This window comes from Homo sapiens, chromosome 1 (genome assembly GCF_000001405.40).
Source record: "Homo sapiens chromosome 1, GRCh38.p14 Primary Assembly".
NCBI lineage: Eukaryota > Metazoa > Chordata > Mammalia > Primates > Hominidae > Homo > Homo sapiens.
This window is the reverse complement of record NC_000001.11, coordinates 114,877,652-114,905,368: the sequence shown is the minus strand read 5'-3', so window position 1 is coordinate 114,905,368 and position 27,717 is coordinate 114,877,652. Positions and strand designations below refer to the sequence as shown.

General features: G+C 36.4%; 1 protein-coding gene and 1 long non-coding RNA gene across 14 annotated transcripts in view; one reads left to right on the top strand and one right to left on the bottom strand.

Moving 5' to 3' along the window:
* SYCP1 (synaptonemal complex protein 1) overlaps positions 1-27,717 on the bottom strand; it is a 141,283-nt gene that overhangs the window by 90,002 nt on the left and 23,564 nt on the right. For all 12 annotated transcript variants that reach the window (NR_104211.2, XM_017002184.2, NM_001282541.2 and 9 more), the window contains 5 exons: positions 27,167-27,275; positions 19,740-19,834; positions 19,060-19,244; positions 17,676-17,743; positions 9,860-9,921 (listed from right to left, as the gene is read on the bottom strand). Coding sequence is in view for 11 of the 12 variants with exons in the window: in XM_017002184.2 (XP_016857673.1) it covers positions 9,860-9,921; positions 17,676-17,743; positions 19,060-19,244; positions 19,740-19,834; positions 27,167-27,275 (519 nt within the window). In the remaining variant the exon portion in view is untranslated. The remainder of the gene's footprint in view (positions 1-9,859; positions 9,922-17,675; positions 17,744-19,059; positions 19,245-19,739; positions 19,835-27,166; positions 27,276-27,717) is intronic.
* Positions 2,835-8,510, top strand: LOC105378915 (uncharacterized). 2 transcript variants are annotated; one of them, XR_947720.3, is made up of 3 exons: positions 2,835-3,050; positions 5,445-5,539; positions 5,871-8,510. It is a non-coding gene; the product is annotated as an uncharacterized LOC105378915 (long non-coding RNA). The 2 variants fall into 2 exon arrangements; XR_947721.3 differs by lacking the exon at positions 2,835-3,050 and adding an exon at positions 3,446-3,526.

Below are 27,717 nucleotides of genomic sequence, written 5' to 3'. Positions count from 1 at the left end.
CATCTTGTCTTACCACTACTTGAGACACACATGGCTTCTGTTTGTAAGTCCCTATTAAATGTTTCCAAGAAACTGGATTTATAAGCCTCTTTCTTCAGCCTCTAAGCTTCTTTGAACTTTGGAATAGGTTTGCAAAGACCTGCCTCTGTGAAACAGCTTCTCAGTTCATTTTACAAAGCCAGCATTACTTTGTCTCCAAAACCAGACACAGATAGCAAAAGAAAAGAAATCTACAGACCAATATCTCTTATGAACTCAAATATAAAAATCCTCAGCAAAATATTAACAAATAAAATTCAGTGAAATAGAAAAAAAGTACAATACTCAACACCAAATGGGGTTTATCCTGGAAATGCAAGGTTCATTCAATATTTGTAAATCAATGAATACACCACATTAATGGTCTAAAGAAGAAAAACCACATGATCATATAAATTGACACAGAAAAAGCGTTTCACACAATTCAACTTCAATTCATAATATAAACTTTCAGTGAACTAGAAATACAAGAGAACTTTCTACAAAAAACCTGCAAGTAACATCATAACTTAATGGTAAAACACTGAATGTTTTTCTCTTAAGATCAGGATATCAAAGATTTACAAGCTCACCACTGTTATTCAGCATACTGGCAGTCTGAGGCCATGCAATAAGGCAAGAAAAAGAAATCAAATGCCTATTTGGTAGTTATTTAAAATACCTGCAAAAAGAGAAATACTTAGGTATAAACCTAATATAACATTTACAGTACTGTATGCTGAATACTGCAAAATGCTAATGAAATAAATCATTATAAAGAAGATCTATAAAAATAGAAACAGATACTACGTTCATGTACTAGAAGATTCAACGTACTAATGATGTCAGTTCAACCTGAATTAATCTATATATTTCACACAATTCCAATAAAAATTTCAGCAAGAGTTTTTTAAGGTATAGAAAAGCTAATTCTAGGCGGGGCGAGGTGGCTCACACCTGTAATCCCAGCACTTTGGGAGGCCGAGGTGGGCAGATCACAAGGTCAGGAGATCGAGACCATCCTGGCTAACACGGTGAAACCCCATCTCTACTAAAAATACAAAAAAGTAGCCAGGCGTGGTGGTGGGCACCTGTAGTCCCAGCTACTCGGGAGGCTGAGACAGGAGAATGGCATGAATCTGGGAGGTGGAGCTTGCAGTGAGCCAAGATCGCACCACTGCACTCCAGCCTGGGCAACAGAGCAAGACTCCGTCTCAAAAAAAAAAAAAAGAAAGAAAGAAAAGCTAATTATAAAATTTATATGGAAATGTAAAGGAACTAGAATAGCTACAACAATTTTGAAAATGAATAATAAAGTTGGAGGAATCACATTACTCAATTCTAAGACTTAGTATTAAATCTACAGTAATCAAGACACTGCAATATTGGCAAATGAATAGACAAATACACCAAGAAAATGTAAGAGAGTCCAGAAATAGACCCATACAAACATGGCCAATTGATTTTTATAATAAATGTGCAAAAGCAATTCAATGGAGAAAGGAGAGTATTTTAAACAAATGGTAATGTCATCCTACATCACTTTTTCTCACTACTACTACGACCTCCCAGACTAAGCCACCATCATCTCTCCTCTGGCTACTGTGATTGTCTGTCTACTCTTAACTGTTCTGCCTTAATACACTATTCTCCTTCAGGCCAAATGTGCTTTTTGAAATGCAAATCTGATCAAGTCACTCCCTGCTAAAATCATCTGGAGTGTCCCATCCCTCTTAGGATAAATACAAAATTCCTTTGATATGATTTACAAGGCCATGAATTGTAAGGCTCCTATCTAACTCTCCAGCAGCATCTTTCACTTCATCATGTACTCACCATACTCCCTCCCATGAAAAGAATCTTAGCATGTTTCCTCTATCTGATATGCTGTATTTTTTCTCCAGATTTCAGTTCAATCCTTACTTCTTCAAAAAAGCCTATCCTAACCTAACTAGTTCAAGTCCTTTTATCATAGGCCTCATCATACTATGAACTAATCCTTTAATGCCCTTGTCACCATTGTAATGTTACATTTCAATGAGTGATTGAATTTAAGTGTGACTACTTGATGGCTGTTGTTCCATGAAGGCAGTATATGGGTCCATTTGCTCCCCACTGTATCCCCAGAGTTTTAGCATAATTAAAACTCAACAAATGTTTGTTTTTGTTCTTCAGACAGGGTCCACTCTGTTGCCCAGGCTGGAGTGCAGTGGTTCAATCTCAGCTCACTGCAACCTCCGCCTCCCGGGCTCAAGCGATTCTCTGTCTCAGCCTCCCAAGTAGCTGGGATTATAGTCACACTGCCACCACGCCCAGCTAATTTTTGTATTTTTAGTAGAGACAGGGTTTTGCCATACTGTCTAGGCCGATCTCGAACTCCTGGCCTCAAGTGATCCGCTCACCTCAGCTTCCCAAAGTGCTGAGATTACAGGTGTGAGCCAGCATGCCCAGCTGAAAAACTCAACAAATGTTTGTTAAATGAGTAAGTGAATTGTCTTATTTATTCCTCACAATCACCCTATGAAATATGTACAATTATTTTTTCCATTTCATAGATGGAAAAACTGAGGCATCAAGAGTTTAGGTAAACTGCTCTTGATCATATAGCTAACAAGTAAAGAGCTGCACACCAATCAAGACATTCTGATCCTGAGAATCCAGATATTGATGTTGTTCATATATAATGAGACGGCCAAGTAAAAAGAGCACCCTGGAGAACCTCCGATAAGCCTGCCCACTGGGAGGACAGGGCGGGGCCTCAGGAAGCTCCTGCCGTTTGCGGGGTGGGGGATGAACTTGACCCCTCCTGCTCTTATGTGGTAACCAGGGATTCAATCTGTGATGCAGAAAGCCTGCTAGCAGGACTCTCTCTTTGCTGAGAGTCCCTGTGGCCCTTTTTGTCCTTTTCACCCAATAAACCCTGCCCTACTCACCCTTTAAAGTGTCTGCAAGCCTAATCTTTCCTGATCCTGCGACAAGAACCCGGTTTTTCCTACAACATATTGTTTGAGAAACATAAGGCTTGAGAAAGGGTGAGTGAAATGCAAACCAAAAAAAAACATCTTTTTCTCTTTCGCTTCTAAGCCTTTTTTCCTTCGGATTTCTTCTGAGGATAGAGGAAACTGTACCCCTACTCCCATTGCTCCCGGAGATCTGGAATGTCGGCCTCAGTCCAACCCAGCCTTTCCATGGCCTTTTCTTTCTTTTTTTGGTACAGATGGGCGAGCAGCAGTTCCCCGCCGCCCTCCCCTCCCCGTTGGGAAGCATGACCCAAGGGCCCCACGAGGCTGGCTGGCACTCCCTGCCAAGCGCCCGTGGAGTCTCCCCCTCCCCCAGCCAAGGAGTCCAGCTCCATCCCACAGCAATTATGCTTCTCTCCCTAGTGGAGGAACAACTTGCATAAGAATAATAAGTTCTTCCCCCAGGCATCCTTTTCTCTTCACCCTGTCAGCAGTTAACACAGCCCAGCATCTAAGCTGTCTCATCCTTTTCTCTACCTTGTCAGCAGGTAACTTTTAAACCAGGTTTTTTTCTTTTTGGAAGACATTTTGCTGGGCCAGGAATGATGGGGATCACTATTTATATTTTCTGTAGTTTTAGTTGTGAGAAAGGATTTGTGAGGTTCGTCTTAAGCTGCAACCAATCTAGCGTGCTTTGCATGACTTTCTGTATAGTCCTCAGCAAATTTTGCTGCAGGCCTCCATCTTGCTGTCCTTGGGAGCAAGACCTGTAACCACATAGCAATGTTTTATTCTAGCCTTTGCCATTTTACAATGGTGGCCCCAGGTTCAATCCTAGCTTAGCGAATGAGTCCTTTATGGTTTCATATCTGCATAACCTTTTGCTGCTTATTGACTCTCTTCCCCTCCACGCACTGCCTTGGATTTTCCTTTCTCTGAGCCTTTAGTAAAGTTTGAAAGCCAGAAGTATTGGTAGCTTGGCCCAACTAAAGTTGGCTAATAATGGAGTTAAAAGGATTTTCTTAAGGAGTACTCAGCTTAATTAAAGTGGATATCCAAGTTATAGCTCTATTTATAAGGCCTTTATGTTTTCCTTTTATTGGACCTTGTTTTTCTGGGAAAAGGTTTTTTTCAGTTGACTAAATTATTTTTCTCGATTTTGCCTTGCCACTTTTAATGCACATCTGAGTGGGGAGAGACCTCTGCTATCCTCATGGAACCCCAGGAATTAAAAGCAGATAGATTCCTCTCCCCATTTGAAAAGATCTTATGACAACTGGGGTTTCTTCTGCCTATGTAGTTACATATGTGTGATGTCTCTAAAAAGAGCTCTAATTAATTGGCTTAAAGGAAGATAAGTGCTTGGATCAAATATTTTTTAAAGGGAAGATAAAAGCTGTGGTACCTTTCAGTTCATATAACTTTAATCTTTGTAAAATAAAGACTGACTTAAAGATTATTGGTAAAAAGCAGATATCATCAAAATATAAATAGGTGGACTAAATTATGCAGGTCAGATGCAAGGTTTGTTAAGTGTTTTAAGGTTATAAACTGCTTTTTGGTTTTTGAGAACTGTTCAACTTGGTAAGGCATGGGGACATATGGAACTAACCACACCCTTAATTATGCAGGAAGAAGTCAAACCTTAGCTGCTCCTAGCACATACTCAAAACAACTTACCAGATTTTACATTGAAGTTAAAAATTGCTAAAAGTTACTATTATGACATGTAATTGAGACTACTGGAAATAGATTTACATGTGAGGTGTGTAAGAACAGTAAAATGTGTTTTTAATAAAAGGTTATAAGAGGCTAGGCGCAGTGGCTCATGCCTGTAATCCCAGCACTTCGGGAGGCCGAGGGAGGTGGATCACTTGTGGTCAGGAATTTGAGACCAGCCTGGCCAACATGGCAAAATCCCATCTCTACAAAAAATACAAAAATTAGCCAGGCATGGTGGTGGGCGCCTATAATCCCAGCTACTCAGGAGGCTCAGGCAGGAAAATCACTTGAACCTGGGAGGCAGAGGTTGCAGTGAGCTGAGATCACGCCACCGCACTCCAGCCTGGGTGACAGAGCGAAATTCCATCTCAAAAAAAAAAATGTTATAAGAAGGCATTAAAAATGTAAATTGTTGCCTAAGGTTAAAGAATTGTTTCAAATTAGATAAAATAAAGTTAAAAGTTCAAACAAGTGGTGGAAGGATTGTAAAAACTAATCTTGCAAAAACTCTGTGTGTGCATATATTGACTAAATTCAAAAAGGCATTATAGGGTTTTTCTGTAAATTGAGCATTAAAATAAAAGCACAACGAAGTATTCATAAGGCACTAATCTGCTCTTAAGCAAAATTTGTAACAGGTTATAAAAGTTTCTGAATCACGACTTTGGCAAAATAAATGATTTATGTCATCTGGAATTCTATTTCATAACATTAAGTGTTTTCAACCTCTAACATATTTTACAGGCTTCCCAAAATCAAACTTCAGTTTCAAAATTGCCTTTCCTGACGCCAGGCTTTTCCGATGCTTCAGAAGGGCCTCTGGAGTATCCAGAAAAGAGGTAAACAGGATTATGTGACATGTTTACTTACATAGGATTGCCAAAATGGTGTTCAATATTCTTTAGGTTATATTTTGGTGAATAATACTAATATATGTTCCCAAATTGTATGGGATTTCTAAAATTCTAATGTCTGAGTATACTATCAATCACAATTAAGGTTAAGTTATTGTAAACCACGGAGGTACCAAACTTCTTTGTCAATTGTGTTTCTAATTGTAACTACCCTGGACATTTCGTTATTCACAGACAATTGTTGTCTTGTTTTAATTCTTTTCAAAAGATGGTTTATAATAAGCTATAGAACTTTGACAGGTGCTCTCAAATACAGGTCTGATAACTTTGAAGATTATGACACTGGAATAAAGGGAAATGTACAGAATTCATGAAGAGCTAAAATGTTCATGAATATCAAGGAAAAGAAGAGCTAACTGAATGAATTCAGAAAACTGAAGCAATCTTTTTGACTTTTGCTTGGAATATTGCTGATCCTTGTTTTGTTTTTCAGAGTAAAGGAAACATTTTGGACTATTTACAGCCTTTAATAATTGAGTAAGGTATACTCTTGTGAACAAAATTTAGAGCATGTTTATTTCTCTCTGCCTGGTTCCTCTAGAATTTGGAAACTATCTGTGTGTATTCTTAACTTACGGCAATATAGTTGTTTGCATCAGTGCAATAAGAATTCATTTTCTTTTGCAACAGGATGCAATTAAAGAAACTGGTTGTTTTACCAAGGCTTTGACTGGAAGGGTATGCTTCCCTTTAAGCAGTCAAACTTGACTTGCAGAGCCAATAAAAGCCCCTTGGGAAAAAACTGGCCTCACACCGTTGTCTGCACAGCCCCATACAGGGTTCCTGACCTGTGGTCAGTAAAGAATGTCACTTTCTAACAGGCCAGGAGTTCCAAGTATATCTTGGGACCTTAGAAGGAGAGGATTACCCAACTCAGAGGTATTTGAGGATACAAATCCATGGCTGGGCCTAGCTTTAAAAGGTCTTATCTGAGATTCCTTGTGGAACAGAGTACCATCAAAGCCAATCTAGAAGTCCTATGTAGAAATAGTTATTCTTGCTGTACTTTATGCAAAAAATCAGGCCAAGTATAAGACTAAAGTCTATTTTGCAAACAACTCAGTCCTATCATGATTTGTTTTTTTAGCAAAAATGAGGACTGGAGAGAGAGAAATTATGTTTCAAAATTTATCATACATTTGTCATTACTTTCTAAACTCATTAGTTGTTTTTAAGTTTTTGCCTACATTTTAGACTAATCCTGCTTGTTCCTATGAACCAAGCAGCATTCTCCAGATGTGGCTCAGAAGGAAGAAAAGGGGATGGGTAATGTAAAAATCTGGATCAATATTCTAGTTCTGAGCAATTATCTTGCAAATCCGGACAGATGATGGGAATAAATAAGGTGCCCATCACCTGGAGGTTTCTTTTTTGGGAAAGTAAGACCAAGGGAGCTAGCCAAAGCCAAGCACAATGCACCCAAATCTTAGCAAGCATAATGATAGCCACCAGTTATCTGGGCATGTCATAAGACATCCTTTTCTCTCCCTTGTTGGAGGAAAACTCAGTTCCACAGTGTTACCTTAGCATTCAGCTTACGATAAGGAGTCCATGCAACACCCCTGAGACACATTTTGGTCCCAAACTCAATTCCAAGCTTTGGGTCAAAGCACTAGGAAAGAAAACTGGATCCAGAGGCTGACAATAAGGGAAGTTAAAAGGCACAGTGCAGGTGAGTGTGGCTGATTCCTGCCAATTAAGCCAAGCTTCCCATTTCATGGATAAAGTCTATGCTCACATCCATGACATAAATGAGGTCTAGGGAATTCAAAGGCTACTGACAGCAGGGGAGACATAGCATATGTGGGTAAGAGCAGATACTTCCACCCTCTAGGCTCCCCTGTTAACATGAGTGAAAGCCACTAAAACACCAATGGGTGGTACCTGTCATGGTTGCCAGGACTCAGGGATGCAAGAACAGAGGAAAGAAAGAGGAATGCCTCACTTTCCCTCCCTCACATATCCCTGGTATTTGCTAGTGATGCCTGCTCTCCTTTTTCTAGATGAGTAGCCATTCATCTTCAGTCTGTACCCCTTTCAAATGCATCCTGAACTCCTGGGACTCCTTTGGAAAAAAACCTTGTTTTTTCCTTTTTCCTCCTATCTCCTCTCTTCGCTGATAGGTAATTGTGTCTCTGTACTATGGGAGATTCCCCTCAGATGCATCCTCCAAACTGGGAAGAGTTAATTTCTCAAACCTTAAACTGGTCAGCTTAGGATTGGGCTCAGGGGAAGGGAACCTAGAAGCCTGACATACCAGCAAAAGGGTAAAAGTTTTTCTTACCAGTCAGGCTTTTGGCCCTCCCTTCCCTGTGCAAACTGGTAAAAGGCCTTGGGATTTTTGAGCTGTCCTTACCACCTACCCCACATTTTATTTTGATACATATTTTCTAATAACCCTGTTTGTGTCTTCTCACCTTCAGGCCATCAAACAAACTCCAAAACGGTCATGCAACCAGAGCTTCAGACATTGGCCCCTTTTGCCAGGAATCCTTAGATATGTCTCTGAGGGAGATCTGACTGCTGTTTTCCCAAAACAGCACCTCCTGTCAGCAGGAAGCAATTAAGATTGGTCTTTGTCCTTATCCTTATCCTTATTCTAATGGCAGTTAGATGTACTTCTTTAGAATGGAGAAGGTAAAAAGGTCTCCAAGTAAAAAGGTCTCCCCGGAGAACCTCCGACCAGCCTGTGCACTGGGAGGACAGGCTGGGGCCTTGGGAAGTTCATGCCATTTGCAAGAAAGAGGAGCCTGACCCCTCCTATTCCTGTGTGGTAACTGGGGATTCAATCTGTGAGGCAGAAAGCTTGCTAGCAGCACTCTCACTTTGCTGACAGTCCCTGTTTCCCTTTTTTCACTTTTCACCAAATAAAGCCTGCCTTACACACCCTTCAAAATGTCTGCGAGCCTAATCTTTCCTGGTCATGTGACAAGAACCTAGTTTTTTCCTACAACAATAACAAAACCTCCAAACCAGTCCTTGTCCATGCAGAAGTGAATCGTTATATAAAAGCCAATGCTTTAGTATTCATTCAACAAATATTTATAAAGTGTTACAAAGTGTCACTTTCTGTGCTAAGTACTAGAGTTACAAGGTAAACAACACAAAGGCTCCTAACCCTTATTGAAGCATACATTCATTCCACTATTTATTTATTGAGCACCTACTATGTGCCAGCCACTATGCTAGGTAAGGAGTCTAAAGGGTGAATAAAGCCTTAAATAATAATACCAAAAATAAATGAATTTCATTTGTGATAAGTGTTACAAAGGAAAAATTCAGGGTGCTATGGAAATAAGCCATACAAAGACCTAAACCTAGCCTAGAGTATCAAGAGAGGTTTCATAAAGCACTGACATTTAAGCTAAGACTTGTATAAGTATGCATTAATAAATCTGAAAGCACTGAAAACATTATTATTAGTTACAAAGAGTTTGTCCCGGAGCAATTAAATGGAGAAAAGAAAAATATTTTAAAATAATGCTCCCCAAGGGACAGAAGAACTAGGAGCTGCAAAATCAGGTAGAGATGTGATAGGTAAACACAAAATCAATTATCAGTCATCATAAACAATATTATATTCTACATCAGGGGCCAGAAAACTGCAGTATGCAAGACAAATTCAGCCTGCAGTCTGTTTTCCTAGACCCTTAAGCTAGGAATGGTTTTTATATTTTTACAAGGTTCTTAAAAATAAAAGAGAGAAGGCAGAGGAGGCAAAGGCAGAGAAGGAGAAAAGAGAGACCATGTATGGCCCACAAACTGTAAAATATTTACTATCTAGTCCTCTACAGACAGTTTGCTGACCCATGTTCTATATACTGTAATCAATTAAAATACAATGAAATTTTACCCTACATCTTCACTAAACATGATTTTACCTGAACATTAAATATAGGTACTGAATATATATCATACACCTTTTTCAAAATTGCATCTTTATTGTTCAAAGGGTACAACATCCAAAATTACCAAATTTACAATCAGCTACATAACATGCAAATTTGATCTTAGTGTGCTATCAACACATATTCAAATGATATAAACAGCTTGATGAAGACAGTTAACAAGGTATATAAAAATTGGTCTAAAAAATGCATCTTTACTTAAAACCAAATATAATTTTTACATTTTAGCTGAAAAAATTAGTATAAAACATCTATAGTGTGAGAGTCTATAAGTTAAGGGATTCAATATTCTTCTGAAAAGTAATTGCTATATATTAATAGGAAAGACTATACTTACCAAGACTTTTTTCAATTCTTCAAGTTCTACTTCTTTGTTATTTGTAAGCTTAGTCATCTCTTCTAAAATGAGCAAAAAAAAAATGTGTTAAAAAGCTGGATTAAAAGAATAGGAAAAGAGACAGAAGGAACAAGCATAATACTACGCAAAAGGGAAAAATCAGGAGAGACAAATGCAACTAGAGCAATGTAAAGCATAGAGGGAGTCCAAATCTAACTATGAAAAGCTAATAAAAGATAAATATTAATAGTAATGTTTCTCTAAAGTTAATGCCATTGCCAAATAACCCAAAGTTCATAAAGCAAAATAAGCAATAAATCTATATAAAATATATTTGAAATGAGGTCAGAATGTACATTTACCTTCAACTCATCACTGTCTAAACATCTGACATTTTAATCTTCACTCCAAACTTAAAAGAAGTGATTCTCTTTTCTCAAGCTAACTCTGAGCATTGTACTTTGGATTCAACATTCCCACCTCCTCTGAGACTCTGCCCTTACGCTACCAATATACACAGATTCTATGTAGAGGAATCTTTAATTTCCCTTATCTCGTCTAAACATTCTATTTGATTATAAAACAATATCTGACCTTTCTGCTCTTTCAAGCAGCTATCAAATTTCTTAGTTTGTTTTTCCAACAAATTCCTATTTGTTACCTACACATTTCATTTTGAACTCCAAGTAAAACTAATGCTTATCACCATAATAATAAAATTGTCATCTTAAGGATCACCAATAACCATTTTGTGATACAATTCTTAAGTCTTCATCATTGTGGAGGTTTGTACTATTTGATACTATTAACTTCTCCCCATTTTTTCCTCTTTGATTTTGCACTATTCATATGTCCTGTTTCCTCTCTACCTCCTGTTCTTGTTTTCTTTGCTGACAGCCTTCTTTCTTGCCATCCTAAAAAATAAAGCCCAATGTTTTTCTTTCTACAGTTCCATGAGTTCAACATTATGCTAATAAATTGAAAAATCTTTCCAGCCCAAGCCTCCCGCATTTTTCAACTTTCTTATATTTTTAACCTGCCCACAAAAAATTAAACCAAAAAAGAAACTGCCTACAGAGTTCCCTAATATGTCCAGCTGTCAGCTAAAAATTTATTGTGTCTGAAATATTGTCCTTCCTCACTGTTAAGGGTCCTTATTGATTAATGGAAATGTAATAGACTTACTGAAAATTTCTCAAACTCTGTACATTTTTTAAAACACTTGTAATAATTGTCCACAGTCTTTAAAGAAAATTAACAAAATATAAAATGTCAATATAGAATCCAAAAGAAAAACCTGGCGTATACATAGCTTATTTAACTAGAAAGTGTTATTTCAGGTAAAAATACTTAATTTTTAAAAACTCAAAAATTGATTAAAGACAGTGGACTGAGCATGTCTCTATATGTTCTCTCACCCCAATCCCACAAAATTAGAAAAAAAAGTACGAGAAAAAATATATATAAAAGAACAACATTAACAAAATAAGAGACTATCATTAACAAACCAGAAAATTAACGAATCCTTGGAGAAAAAAAAAAAACAACTCACACTAATTCAATGAAGGCTATGTGGAACAAGACCAAGTGACCATACCTCTCACCACAAAGCCCACCTCAGGATAAAGTAAGGATCCTAGGAATTTGGGTGGCAGATGAGGTAGTGTTACAAATAGCTTATTATTCTTAAGCAAGATAAACATCCCCTATAGTAAAAGACAAGCTGCTATGCCCACCTTTCCCCACAGCAACTCCCACTCACTCCCATAATCAGAAGAATTAGATTGTAATACACAAGTGGGAAAAGAAGAATACTTATACTTAGAGAGTCAACAATCAGGTACCAACAATTTGTGAAGAAAAGCAAAACAATGAAAAAGAAAGCTCCAAATTAAACTGTGAAAAAAACTAAAACCCAAAGAAAAAGAGTTAATAGAGTGAACAGAAACAGATATTTGACTAAGTATAGTGTTCCAACAGGATACCAGATCCCTGAAATAGATTACCTAGAGCTCTTAGAAATTTAAAATTTGACAACTGAGATTTTGAAAATAGCAAAACAGACATATTTAAAGATTGAATTAGCAAGGGAGAAACAAATTTAGATAGAGAGATAGAGATAGAGATGAGATAGATAGAGATACAGATACAGATACAGATGGAGATACAGATAAAGATAGAGATGAGATAGAGATACAGATACAGATACAGATGGAGATACAGATAAAGATAGAGATACAGACAGAGATAGGATAGAGATACCTCCCAATTCAGGAAAAAGAACAAAGAGGTAGAAAATGTAAGACGAAAGTTTAAAAACAAGAAAGGCTTCAAGATGGCTGACTAGAGGCATCTGCCCACTCACCTCCTCCACAAAGAATAACTAAATTAGTGAGTAGATAAATTACACTTCAAATAGATCCTCTAAGAAAGAACACTGGAATTCAAAAGAGATGTGTCAGGAAACACCTAAGGCAAGGAAGGGTCCTTTGGACCCTGAGATTAACATAGGTAGCTGCCTAGAGATCTCACAAAGGCATTGCTCCATAGAGGGAATTTATGCTGGGTCCCACCCACCCTCTGAGTTCTAAGCAGCTATAGCCCCGTACCATTTTGAGAGCCCAGCCCCCAGGAGACTACATCCTGCTCTGGGGCCCAAAAACCCCCGCATCTCCATATCCCTGGAGCCCCACTGACATCCCCCACCTGCCAATACTCACTGCTGGCTACTGCTACCAAGACTGAAGTGCACCCCACTGGCAGCAACCCTGCCCCCTACCAACAGCAGGACTGCAGCACATCTTCCCGTGCGTGCGCCAGGAAAAGGCTCCCGCTCCTGCAGCTGCTACTACTGGCTGCTGCTGCTGGAGCCAAAGCATAAGCCAATGGCATCAATCCCATGTCACCCCAGCAGAAGGGCCATCACACATTTGCAAACACCCCAAGGACAAGCTACCTTGCTCACAGCCACAACCTCTGCCACTGCCAGCTACCAGGTGAAGCCAGAACCACTAGCAGCAACCTCACTGCCCCCAGCAGCGGGGTCACATGCCCTGAGTACAGGCTCACGGACAGCTGATGCCTGGGGCTGAAGCGCACACTCCTCAGAGGCCTGCCTATAGCTGCTGCCACCTACAACAATCGCACACTCCCTGGCAGCAGGGCCGCAGCACACTTGCACATGCTCTAAGGGCAGGCTCTCCCAGCTCACCACAACTGCTGCAGCACTCACCTGAGTGCTCCATCAGGGGCATAGGAATCACCCCACCCCTGCCCACCAGAGCCAGCACCTATAAACACAACTGGGAAGCCTGAAGATAGGCCCACGAGGACTATCTCTGCTCCCTCAAGTGCCTGAGTACACTGTCCAAGAGCCTAGGGATCACACTGCCCCATCCACCACCATTAGCACCTAAGCACTCCTCCTGGGTGCCTGATGAAGGGTCAGCCAGGCCTGCCACTACCACCACAGCTGGCACTCACCCATATGCGCTTGCCTGTAGGCCTGCGGACTGGCCCACACAGTCCATTGCAGCCACCGCATTGCATCATTTTTATTTCCTTCATAGCACTTATCCCAATTTATAATTAAATATTTATTTGTGATTATTTGTTTTGTATGTCTCTCCAAGAAGAGTGCAAACCTCATGAGAACAAATACCATGTCTGTTACATTCCTCATTACATATCCAAGGCTAAATAAGGAATAAACATCTAAGCCTTAGTTCAATAGTTATTATATTATATATCTGATAATCAAAGCAGAAGCAATAGAACCTACTAGGAGGGGAATCTGTTACATACCAAATTGAAAGCAAAGATAGATCCAGATATGGAAAAATGAGTACAAGAATAAGACACATTTACAGCAATATTAGACTGAATTGAAGATGGGCAACGCATGAAGCAGCAAAGAAAACTGTAACAAGTTAAGAAACTGAGAAAAAATTACTTGCCAAAGATTTCCTATTGCAGTTGACTTCAACTCACTTGGTATGCAGTACTCCCACTCTTTAAATGAACAATGAAAAGATAACTGATATCTAAGTAGTTTGAACTTAGGCAATGAGATGCCTCTTAAATTTGCCACATAGAATAATCATATTTGTATTTTTAAAGAAACACTCTAGCAGCAATGTAGAAAATGAGCAAAAGGTGGCTATCCTAGAAAGAAAAGGACTGATTCTCAAGCTATTGTAACTATAATAGCACTGGTCAAAGACGTCTGACCTAAAAGATACAAGGAGTAGAGCAGGCTATATCTGAGCAGTACATAGGTTAAAAGTGTTTTGAGGATTGAGACTGCTGAGGAAATGATGGAAGACCACTTTAACCAAGATGTAAGTCTAAGAAAATACCATCAAGGAAGAATGTAAAGTGTAGCCAGGAAACAAAGAAGAATGAGAGTTGTTGGGGTAAGAAAAAAGATTATTAAAGAAAGGCAAAGCAAACAGAAGCTTAGTTAAATATAGCAAGGGGGGATGAATAAAGATTAGGACAAATGGGGGTAATCTGAAGCACGGTTTGATGATTAATCTTACAAATACAATTTTTGTACCATTATGTTCTTTACATGCATCCTGAAACTCTAAAACCAAGAAAGAGAAAATGAGGAATTGAACTGTTCTAGATCTGTGGAAATCAAGAAAAGGAAAAGATTCAAATGATAGTTAAGAGGAACTTCTAAGTTAGTTATATTTTATGAGTTAGGTGTTAAGGAGCACCAGATAACCAATTAGCAGTAAAGCATAAGGGAAGGAGAATAAATAGTACAGAATATCCTTCAAGATTTCTGGTTTTGAGACCATATTGTCACCCAAAGAAGTTGAGTACCTATGTCACTGTTAATGCTACCTTCCTACACATGATGTTTTGTACACTCCTTCATCCTCTACAACTATCCAAAGCCTTAAAGTCTACTTTTAAATTTAAATCTACCTTTTCCATAAAGCCTTTTCCAACTATGCAGTACACATTGCTATCTTAGGCTTCCTCTTGGTATCAGTATTAACATACCTCCATCAATAAGAAATCTGTGAGCATTCACCCAAAATATATTAGTATGTATAAAATACAAATGCATATTTATATTTACATAAATGTATAATCAGTTATAAATTAATGTTTATAAATATAAATTTATAAAATATAAATATGTATTACAGTGTTCATTATAAAACATATTTAAAACATAAAAATAAATAAAAATAGAAATTCTAACATTTTCTTCCCTTTTCCTAAAGGAAATTTTGCTCACCCCTTCATTTTGGACACCATTACTCTAAGGGTTTTATGTATTTAAGCTTCCTCCAACAATAATCAGAGATTTCTCAAAAGGATGGTATGTTACTTCTATACATTCCTACAACATCTAAGGCAATGCTAAAAAACACACATGGTTCTATTTCACAATTCTAGAATACTTTTTTCAAATTTGTCAAAATATATTGCTCTACTGTGAGAAAATCATATAATACAATTGCATTTTTAATATGACAAATAGCCACTTAATTTCAATATTAGACTGAATTATTACAAATAAATATCCATTAAAGACATTTTAAGAAACAAAATTCTTCCTTAGCCTAAGACATTAAATTAAACAATTCTAAAGAAAATAAGTATAGGTATACAAAAATTAACTCAAGATGGATTAAAGACTTAAATGTAAGACCTAAAACCATAAAAACCCTGGAAGAAAACCTAGGTAATACCATTCAGGACATAGGCATGGGCAAAGACTTCATAACTAAAACACCAAAAGCAACGGCAACAGAAGCCAAAATTGATAAATGGGATCTAATTAAATGAAAGAGCTTCTGCACAGCAAAAGAAACTACCATCAGAGTGAACAGGCAACCTACAGAATGGGAGAAAATTTTTGCAATCTACTCATCTGACAAAGGGCTAATATCCAGAATCTACAAAGAGCTTAAACAAGTTTACAAGAAAAAAACAAAAACCCCATCAAAAAGTGGGCAGAGGATATGAACAGACACTTCTTAAAAGAAGACATTTATGCAGCCAACAGACATATGAAAAAATGCTCATCATCACTGGTCATCAGAGAAATGAAAATCAAAACTACAATGAGATACCATCTCACAGCAGTTAGAATGGCGATCATTAAAAAGTCAGGAAACAACAGATGCTGGAGAGGATGTGGAGAAATAGGAATGCTTTTACACTGTTGGGAGTGTAAATTAGTTCAACCATTGTGGAAGACAGTGAGGCGATTCCTCAAGGATCTAGAACTAGAAATACCATTTGACCCAGCAATCCCATTACTGGGTATATACCCAAAGGATTATAAATCATGCTACTATAAAGACACATGCACACATATGTTTACTGCAGCACTATTCACAATAGCAAAGACTTGGAACCAACCCAAATGTCCATCAATGATAGACTGGATAAAGAAAATGTAGCACATATACATCATGGAATACTACGCAGCCATAAAAAAGAATGAATTCATGTCCTTTGCAAGGACATGGATGAAGCTGGAAACCATCATTCTCAGCAAAAATATCAAAAGGACAGAAAACCAAACACCATATGTTCTCACTCATAAGTGGGAGTTGAACAATGAGAACACATGGACACAGGGAGGGGAACCTCACACACCAGGACCTGTTGCGGGGTGGGGGGCTGGGGGAGGGATAGCATTAGGAAAAATACCTAATGTTAATGACAAGTTGAGGGGTGCAGCAAACCAATGTGGCACATGTATACCTATATAACAAACCTACACGTTGTGCACATGTACCCTAGAACTTAAAGTATAATAATAATTTTTAAAAAGTAAGTATAGGTATATATAATGATTTAAAACACTATTTTATGCTCGAAGGAAGAATAAAAAATGGAATGGTTTATATTATAACCATTCTAATTTAAAGTTATCCTAAGAAGATACAATTATTTGCATTTGATAGTACAATTTTACATGATAAAGGGTTAATCTATAGTGGAAAATTAAGCCTCACAGAAAAAAAGGATAAATATGGTCCAAAAGTTCAACCAAACAACCTAACTACTTGTGAAATGTAAAGCACACATTTCCGATACTAGATAATATTTTAGTTGATAATTATTTTAATTATACAACTATTTAAATCTAATAATAAAGCTTACATAAAGTAATGAAAATATTTTATAAAATATTTGCCAATTCATGAATATTTTTAATTTATAAAAAATATTTTTTCACTAAAATTGGAAACTATTTTATTCTTTGCAATTTTCCACATTTGTAGATATGAAGAGTTATGAATATGAAGCATAGGTTATTAGAATTATCGAATTACATGGCCATAAATTATAAAATAACTACTGTAGAGAATGTCTCTCTCGTGGCCATGAAAGTTGTTGAATTTTAATAACACCTTATGATAAAATAGGATCACATTTTCCTGTGAATAGTACATAATGTAACATGACAAAGCAATGAAATTTCAAAATTCAATTAAACAATAACAGACATTTCTCACGAAGAATTATTAAGGTCTCTGAATCCTAAAATAAAGAAAACAGAATATCAACTTCTCTTAGTTGTATTCTGTTAGGAGACTCAGACCTCTCTTAGGCTCCCCACACTTCTAAATATCTATTAACTGCATAATAAAACTGAATAAAACACTCTTTCTTAAGGTTTAAATTTTCTACCTTCAAATATTGAAATAAAAATATTATCAAGCAATCTCTACTGGCAAATGACAGAGGGGAAATTATATTTTATTTCAAAACAGTGTTTATGATTCTATAATAAGTTAATATTATTAAAGTACACACATTATTCTCTAAGTCTTACCCAGCTCACTTGATTTCTTTTGAAGCTCCATGGTAAGTATTTTCAATTGATCTTCATTTTTTTCCAATCTTGTAAAATATATCATTTTCAATACAAAATATTATTTTAGTCAGAATTCATCTCATAACTAAAATTGGTGCAATTTAGCAACTGATATATCTTAGAATAGATTCACCCACTGGATTGTTAAACATTTATTAAGTACCTACTCTGCACCATATAGTGTAACATTTTAAAATAAGATATTACTATTATAAATACATAATTCTATATTACATTTATGTAATATACATAGATATACCTTAAAGCTTATGGTATAAGTTTTCTCTTAGCTGTTGATGATAATCAGATTAACGCATCCTAGAACTCTGAAAGAAATTGAGTATGTAACTACTATTATACTGAATTCTGCCTTAGGAACAATATAATTATGAGAACATGTATAATTTGGTTAACTTCTCTGGCTTTCTGTTTCCTCAAAGTATAAAACTGAGGTAATAGGGATAGAGGAATCTTAGGTAACCTACCTTTTTAAAAATGAAAAATCACTGGATAGGTCAATCAAAAATATATAAATTAGGGGAGCTAGAAAGGCTAGCTTTTCCCTCACCATGCACAAGCAACAGAGAAAAACTATTGCTAGGCCCCGGCTATGGCTTCAGAGAGAAACCTGTTCTCCTTTATCCTACCAAACTTAATTAACCCTAATGCTAATGAGACAAAAAATAATTATCTAGGCCTCCTAACACAGCTTTATATAAATATTTCCTTAATATAGAGTAGTAAAAAATAGAGTCTTTAACACTCAAGCATTAGAAAAACTGCTATTTAGATGAAATGAAAATACTAGTTTATTTTTTATGTAATCACATTTGTGAAACCATTTATTTAATAAGTTAATGATAATTAATTATATTAATTAAATTTATACTGATTAATTGGTTAATTTAATAAACATAGAGTAGTACTTACCTATGCCAGGCTAGCTGCTAAATTTATAAATCAGAAAGGTCTACAGACCTCAGTAAGATAAACCTGACAGCCTGGAAGCTACTTCTAGGAAGCTAATAATAATCTACAGAGTCATTAAATATATCATATCACTGCATCAACCTTTCATGAGTTTATGTATATAACTAAATTCTATGGCAAAGCATACATGAGAACTATCCTAGAGAACATCTTCTTTTACATCTTTTCCTAAGATATCTGTCTATCCAAAGAAACTTTTAAAATGTATTCCCACTTTATACATGAGACCTGACTACAGTTGTTATATGAATTACACACATCAGTTGGCAATGCAAAGAAAATGGCATTGAATATTAAAAGTAAATTGTTTTTATTCACTTATTTTGTGTATTAAAAATAATAAATATTTTACCTTTGCTGTTCTGTTCTCAATAATTCTTCCAAGCTGCAGACAGTAGTTTCAAATTCAGTAACCACAAACGAATGAGCAGCTCTAGCTTTATTAGATTCTTCCATTTGAGTTTCTTTTTCTTCAGTTAGCTGACAAATTGTTTTTGTTGCTATCTGTAAATCTTCCTCTAAAGCCTTTTGAGTACTCTAAATGAAATAAAGTATAAAACAAGAGCAATGATCCAAAGGCCTTAACCAAAAAAGCTGAACTTATCTGCTTCTATACATTCACTGCCCCTTTCCCACCCTCATATTTTCCTATTATTCCTCCTTCCTACCCTGGAATGCCCACCCACTACTCTTATTTCAATTCACTGTTCTCCAAATCCCACCTATAGTTCCAGCTCCTCCATGGAGCCTTCCTAGCCAAACCAGCCATACTGTTCTTTCAATTCTTAGAACTATTAATTTATTACCTAAACCACCCTGTTGTCACCTGTCCAGGGTCTTGTATTTTAATTATACTTTTGATGTGTTTTTATGCAATGTCTCTAAACTATAGCATTTTGCAGACTAGGATTGTGTCTTCTCTAACTATTTGAAACTCCAGGTCCTTGTACATTGTATTAGTATTTAATAAATATTTGTTGACTGATTGATAGGGTGAGACTTATTACACACTAATGAGTTTTTAAATCATACCACACTTCTTTGTAATGACACTTTAATATCTTCTAGTTCTTTAGTCAAATGATGCTGTTTCTCAATTGATTGTTTTAAGTTTTCACTCTGTAATTCTAAAAGAGAAAGTTATAAATAGATAGTACTTAGCAGAAGATATATACCAAGAAAACTAAGTATTATTTGTGACAATTAGTCTTTTTCCTCCGTTAGATAATAGTCCAAAATGAGAAGAAAATATGCAAATATAGACACACAAATATTGGTCACCATCAAGCTTTATTGACTTTTCAAGATTGTTATCTCCCAAGAACTCAAAAATAAATATTTAAGGATTTACATTTTTTATAATAGCAAAACATTAGAAACTACCTAAATATCCAAAAGTAGACAAATTATGGAGGCACATATATGGGATGGTATACCATGTAGCCACTGAAAATGTAATACAAATTTTATTGATTATTAATTTGGATATTCATAAAACATAGAATAAAAAGAGTGGGTTTAAAACAATATTTAAACACTGCATGCAAAAGGAAAAGATACACACTAAAATATGAAAAGTAATTTATCTCCCGATGGTAAAATTATTCACGATTTTATTTTCATTATTGATTATCTTGATTTTTTTATTTTTCAAAATACTCTATTAAATGATAAATAAAAGCTTTTGACTCCACTTAAGAGCCCATTTTTAATAAATACTAAGTCTCAGGTACTAGTCTATATGTTTTATATTTGTGCACTCATTTTTAAACATCATAAAAGCAATAGGAGAAAAAAGAAGTTCATTATATTCTCTGAATTCAAATTATACGATTTCCTTTTACTAAGCTACCTGGCCTCGGGCATGATACTTAACCAGTCTGACTACTTTTCCCACCTGGCATGTTAGAATAATGATAATTATTCATATTATGAAGAGTCACCTGCTGTTAGAATTAAACAAGATAATGCAACTTAAAATGCTTAAGCACAGTGTCTAATCTATAATCAATAAATGATAACTGCTATTAAGATGATGATAATGGTGATATATGGTAGAAACTGAACACTAATATTCATGATAATTTACAATATATTGGTCAGGCAGGCAAATAAACAATGATTGTGCTGATGGGTACTCACTGGAAGTTCTGGGAGTTTACCTAGAGGGGACACCTAAGCCAAATAAGATCAGTCAAGGTTAGAGGTACAGGGAGACAGAAAAAGTTTAAAGACTTCAAGAAAGTAGCAGCTGAGTTGAAACATTTGAAAGACAGTAAGAATTAAATTAGCAAAGGTAATGGAAGTTAGGAGAGAAAAGGTCACGGGCAAGTGTAAGAGCACATACAAAGGAAAACACAGAAGAGATAGAATGACACGTTCTGGCATCTAGAGAAAATGTATTTTAGGAGCATAAGGCTTGAAGTATAACGAATAAGTCACAGGAGATATGATTGGAAACGTAACAAGGACAAGATCATAACAGGACTTATATAACTTGCTCAGAGTCTTCTGGTTCATAATTCATGAAGACCATGCAAAACAATAAAGGATGTTAAGCAACAGAAGTACGTGCCAAGTTTATATTTTTAAAATTCCATTCTGAAAAAACTACATAGAATGAAAGGGTCATTGGTCCGACTGTGGGGAAAAAATAGAAAAAGTAAATCTGGGCCAGGCCCGGTGGTTCATGCCTGTAATCCCAGCACTTTGGGAGGCCGAGGCGGGTGGATCATGAGGTCAGGAGTTCGAGACCATCCTGGCCAACATGGTGAAACCCCGTCTCTACTAAAAATACAAAAATTAGGTGGGCATGGTGGTGCATGCCTGTAGTCCCAGCTACTCGGGAGGCTGAGGCAGGAGAATCACCTGAACCAGGAAGGCGGAGGTTGCAGTGAGCCAAGATTGCACCACTGCACTCCAGCCTGGTGAGGGAAATGTTGACTAATGATTGTGGTGTCCATTATGATACTATTTCTTATGGTCTGGTGATAAATGTCTCCTCTGAAAAATCATAAGCACAAACTAGCCCTTAGGCATGTATCGGAACGGAATGTATACTGCCAGAATTTTCCAAAGAGCTCCAAGCCAAAATTTAATTTGAAGTGCTCCTAAGTTTCCCCAGGAGCCTAGAAAATGGAATATGCAAATTTTCTTCAGGCCTAATATACTGCTAATTCAGGCCTTAAAGAATTTCCACAAATAAAGTTACATGACCTCACAATCAACAAACACAATGGGAAACAAAGCACCATGAACAGAGTCAGCAAAATGAACAAAAGGCCAACTTAGATCTACAAAGATTTCATATTTTAGAATTATTGGCTATGAAATTTAAAAATAAGTATTATCACATACTTTGTAAACTAAAGGAAGATATCAGTAAATCAATAAAACTACTAGAAGTAATACATAAAATTGAAACTGAAAACTCCAAAGCGATAATGATGAGCTTTGTCATTTAAACACTTCTGTAAAAGGGAATAAAAATTCAAGATCAAATATTAAGAATATTAAAGCATTAAGCTCCTGACAAAAATAGGAATTTGCCAGGCCAAAAATGAAGAGAAAATAGAAACCTATAGAAGTAAGGTAACCACAAAACTTGCTTGTGCCCAGAGGGCATTTGCAGACCCTGGCAAAGTTGGACTTTTGGTTTGAAATATGATGGGATAGAGAATTTAAGATATATGAAAACCCAAAGATTACAGAAGGTAGAGGGTGTCTAAGAAGTAAACTTTTGTACAATAAGCCGGGACAGTTTTGATGTAAGGAGCAAACAAAAGTAAACCAACTCACAGGCAGATTTGCAGCCCAGGTTCAAATCACCTGCGTAGTTCAGGACACCCCAAGCGTTCAAGCTGCCTTAAGGTTGTCCCAAATGGATAGAAATATCATGTGCATGGGGGGAAAAAAAGCAAATCCTTCCAGGTGGATGTTAAGCAGGCCTTAACTTATTCCTACAAGTAATCTTTTTTTTCAAGTAAAAAAAATGAGCATAAAGTCAAAAACAATAAGGCACACAAGCAAACAAGGTACTTTGACTAAAAACTATCATAAACAAGACAGAAAGAGAATCACAAACATTTAAAATAAAAAAATCAGAAAAGGACTATAAAACAGCTATGGTTTGTATATTTAAAGAAAAGACAACCTCGAAAATAAGAAGAAACTGAAAACTAGATAAAGTAGAATGGCAGGTTAGAAAAAGAAGAATAACATCTTAAAATAAACATCTTAGTAACTAAAAATAAAATGGAGGAATTTCATGATGTGTGAGAAATAAAAGAGAAGAAAATTAGTGAATTACAATACAGGTAAAAAGAAATTAGGATAAGGTATAGAAAGGCAAAACTGTTGAAATAGAAAAAAGAGATTAAGAGTCAAAGAAGAGTTAGAAAATTAATGAAGGTTTTTATTTTGGTTTCGGGTTTGGTTTTGTTTGGTTTGTTTGTTTGTTTGTTTGTTTGTTTGTTTTGAGACAGGGTCTCACTCTGCCACCCAGGTTGGAGTGCAATGGAGCAATCATAGCTCACTGTAACCTCGAACTCCTGGGCTCAAGTGATCCTTCCACCTCAGCCTCCCAAGATGCAACACGGGTTTTTTCCACGTTTTTTTCTTACTCAGAAAATGAGGAAACAGAAAGTAGAGCAAATACAATATCTGAAGAGATTATTGTTGAGAATTTCCAAGAAACAATAGTAACAGACAGTAATTTACAGATTGAAGAAGCTATTAAACAAAACTAAGCGTATGAGTTAACATATTATACTGTAAATGCTAAAAATCGAAGATGAAGAAAATCTGAAAACCCATAAGAGAGGGAAAAGATATTACTGACTTCTTAAAATCAACAAAGTAAGCCAGGCGTGGTGGTTCACATCTGTAATCCCAGGACTTTGGGAAGCCAAGGCAGGAGGATCGCTAGAGCCCAGGAGTTTGAGACCATCCTGAGCAACACAGTGAAACCCTGTCTCTACAAAAAATGTTAAAATTAGCCAGGTGTGGTGGCATCTGCCTGTATCCCAGCTACTCAGGAGGCTGGGTTGGGAGGATCACTTGAGGGCATGATTGTGCCACTGCACTCCAGCCTGGGCAACAGAGCGAGACTCCATCAAGAAAGGAAGGAAGGAAGGAAGGAAGGAAGGAAGGAAGGAAGGATAATACCTTCCATGTGCTAAAAGAAATGTCTAGAAATAATGTACAGTGTGCCAACCTAGAAAGACATATCATGCAAACATATCCTTTATGGATGAGAATGAATAAACAAATTTTCAGACAAATGGAATCTATGACAGCTAATCACAAACATATTCTCACTAAAGGAGATTCTAAATATTCCTCTTCAAAACAGAAAGAAAATGGTCTGAATGAAAAGTTTAAGATACCAAAAAAAAGAGCAAAGAAATTGAAAAAAATACATGGGTAAAACGAAATAAATATTGTCTGTACAAAACAGTAATAATAATGTTCCATCTATAGAACTAAAATACACATATTGTAGCACTATTCACAATAGCAATATGGAATCAACCAGTGTTCATCAACAGATGACTGGATAAAGAAATGTGTGTGTGTGTGTGTGTGTGTGTGTGTGTGTGTGTGTATATACACAAATTGGAATACTGTTCAGCCATAAGAAATAATGAAATCATGTAAAATCTAATTGTTATCTACTTAAATTTTTGATAATTAATACTCTTTAAGAACCAACTATTATTAGCAAGTGACAAAATAAATTAGGCAATAACAAGCAAACATTAAAAAGGAAAACAAAAATTAGTTGATCATAATTAATTTAAATGAATATTTCTAGGGAGGGTGGAGTAGTTAGTAGCATACCAACTCTCACGCTGGAAACAACCAGAAAAGACAAAATGACATAAAAGGACTAAACGGGCTAAGATTCTTAAAAGAAAACTGCTGAAAGTGAACTGATAAAGTACAACTGACATCTGCCGATCTGGGCATAAGCAAAAGACTAAGATGCTGTCTTAACCCAGGCAGAGGCCTGTTGCTAAGGTACAGAAAAGCCAGCTTACTTTTGAGAGGTCTCAAAGAGCTGAAGAAACAAAATTGAAAACCTGAAAAACCTTATATACTTGGCCAGTTTCCTTTCATTTAGCTCAGTCTCTAACTGGAATCAGATAATCAGCCCAACATACCCCCAATTTCTCTCCAGCAGAGAAAAGACAACATCATCGGGAAGCTCCAAGATTTTTCTTATTACAATGCACAGGATTTAATTTTAAAAATTACAGGGCACACCAAAGGATAACAACAAATGCCCAAACAGCAAAATAAAAAAGAAAAAGTAAAAAGAAAGAAAATCAAATAGTGGTTGCCAGAAGCTGCAGGAAGAAGGGAATGGGATGTTATTTTTTAATGGGTACAGAGTTTCCATTTTGCAAGATGAAAAGAGTTCTTGGATGGTGAGTTCTTGGAGAAGAAAGATGGTGGTTATGGTTGCATAACAATGTGAACATACTTAATGCTATAGAACTGGACACTTAAATATGATTAAGGTGGTAAATTTTATGTTACAAGTATTTTACCATAGTTTTAAAAAAGAAACGATAGAAATAAACCAACAGATGAGACATATATTGAAATAAACAGAGAATAGCTATAAAATATCAATGACGAATATATATTTAAGAGGTGAAAAATGAGATTTTTAAAAGAGGAGAAAACTTAACCACAGAATTGGACTCTTAAGTAATCAAATGGAAACTTCAAAATGAAAAATACATGATTCATTTAAAGTTAAGAATTCAGTAGATAGATTTAAAGCAAATTAGACACATCACAGCCAGGATTAGATAACAGATCAGTAAAAAATATCCACACTGAACACAGAGAAAAACAAGTGGAAGATACATACTTATGGAAAACAATGAAAAGTCACTTAAATGAACACACTTCAGTGGGTATGAGTCTACAGGAATCATATAGAATTACAGTTATTTATTAATTTTTTCAGTTTATATGATAAGATTAAATATTATTTCATTCATCCAACTATTGAACTCATATTATGTGCAAAACCATATACTGGGCACTACAGTTACAAAGATATTTAAGACCCAATCCCTCCTCAATACACTCCTAGTCACAGGGGACAAACAGGTAATGTTTATGCCCTTACTAAGAATTTAGCCAACAGACTTGGGGTGGAGAGAAGAGATTCATTTTGAGTACAGGAAGTAGCCAAAAGCATGGGGTGGGATTGAAAGAGCACAAAATATAGATGAAGTTAAATTATTTCAATATATCTGGAGTATATCATATAGTAATGACAGTAAGATGAAATTAGCAGGTATAGATTGGCAGAAACCAGATAATTATTTGCCATGTGAAGACAAGAGAATGTTCTGAAGAATAGAAAAACAACAAATGCCATAATATCCCTATAATGTTCTGGAAGGTGCATGGTGTTTCACAAACACTATGCCTTCTAAGTGTCCTGCCGTTTAAAAAAGTTTGAAAAATATTCCCTAATAAGACAGTCTAAACATGACATAACACTCAGGATCCTTCATAAAGGGATCCAAATCTTTTACAATTTCATCTGTCTGAGTTCAATAAGATGTTGCCACACCAGTCAGTTTACTAAAAATATACCCTAACATTCCTACTTCCATGACTTGCACAAGCCGTTTATTCCACCTGTATTGTCTACTCCAGTTCACTGTCTAGTAAACTTTTAAACAGTTCAACAGTTTTTCCCTAATGCCTTTCTAAAGGTCTCTCTCTGGGAAAAATTAGTAACTCTCTCCATCATGCTCCCATATGATTTGTTCATTCAAAAAATAATTTTTGCTAGGCGCAGTGGCTCACGCCCGTAATCCCAGAACTTTGGGAGGCTGAGGCGGGTGGACCACCTGAGGTCAGGAGTTCGAAATCAGCCTGGCCAACAAGGCGAAAACCCGTCTCTAGGAAAATACAAAAATTAGCCAGGCGTGGTGGTACACACCTATAGTCCCAGCTACTAGGGAGGCTCAGGCAGGAGAATCGCTTGAACTCGGGAGGCAGAGGTTGCAGTGAGCCAAGATTGTGCCACTGCACTCCAGCCTGGGTGATACAGTGAGACTCCATCTCAAAAAACAAAAATAATATTATTAATTTTGAGTGCCTTATATGTGCCAGGCATTGTTCTCGGCACTTGGAATGCAACAGTTCCAAGTCAGTGAACAAAAAAGACAAGGTCTCTGTCTCTGTGGAGCATATAGTTGAAACATTTGAAAAAGGTAAGAGCATGGAAAAAGGAAAAGAAGAGTACATGTATTTTACAAAAGCTCCCCAGGTTAATCTATTATGCCCTCCTCCAACCGAACCAACTCAGATTGAGAAGTACAGTACTAGAAAGCATTACAACAAACTTGTAATGAAAGTCAATGTTTAGAACATAACAAGAGGAATACATAAGGCACATTATATTATCTTATATAAACTCTTACTTGTCTTTTCCTCTAATTGATTAACTTTATCTCTGGATTCCTCTAGCAGAAATGTTAAATCTTTCATTTTATTTTCTTTCTCAGTGATTTGGATCAATAGTAGTGATACCTAAAATATTTAAATAATACATTATCAATATGAAAATTTAAATATGACACCTTAACATTTATAATACCTACAATTATTTTATGTACTTGTCTACATGCTTTTCAGCTGGTCCACTTAACCCTCCCACCCTGGTCTCTACTCCCTGGCAGCCAATGTAGTCAGAGAACTGGCCCTATTATCTTTGTAAGAGACAGTGTCATATCAAATTGAAAAAGGCAATCTCTAAACATCGGTATTCCAGGCACAGGGATGGGTGGGGGTATATATAATGGAAAAGTCAACATACATAATGGTAAGATTCAGTCTGTCTTTGCTATCCTGCCCAATTCAGCTCCAGAATGCCATCAGCCAAGTTTATATCCACAAGCAAGAATTTAGAAACCCCCAGCAAAAAAAGTGTTACAAATAATGACATTTAGGAGTCCTCAGCAAAAACACTAGC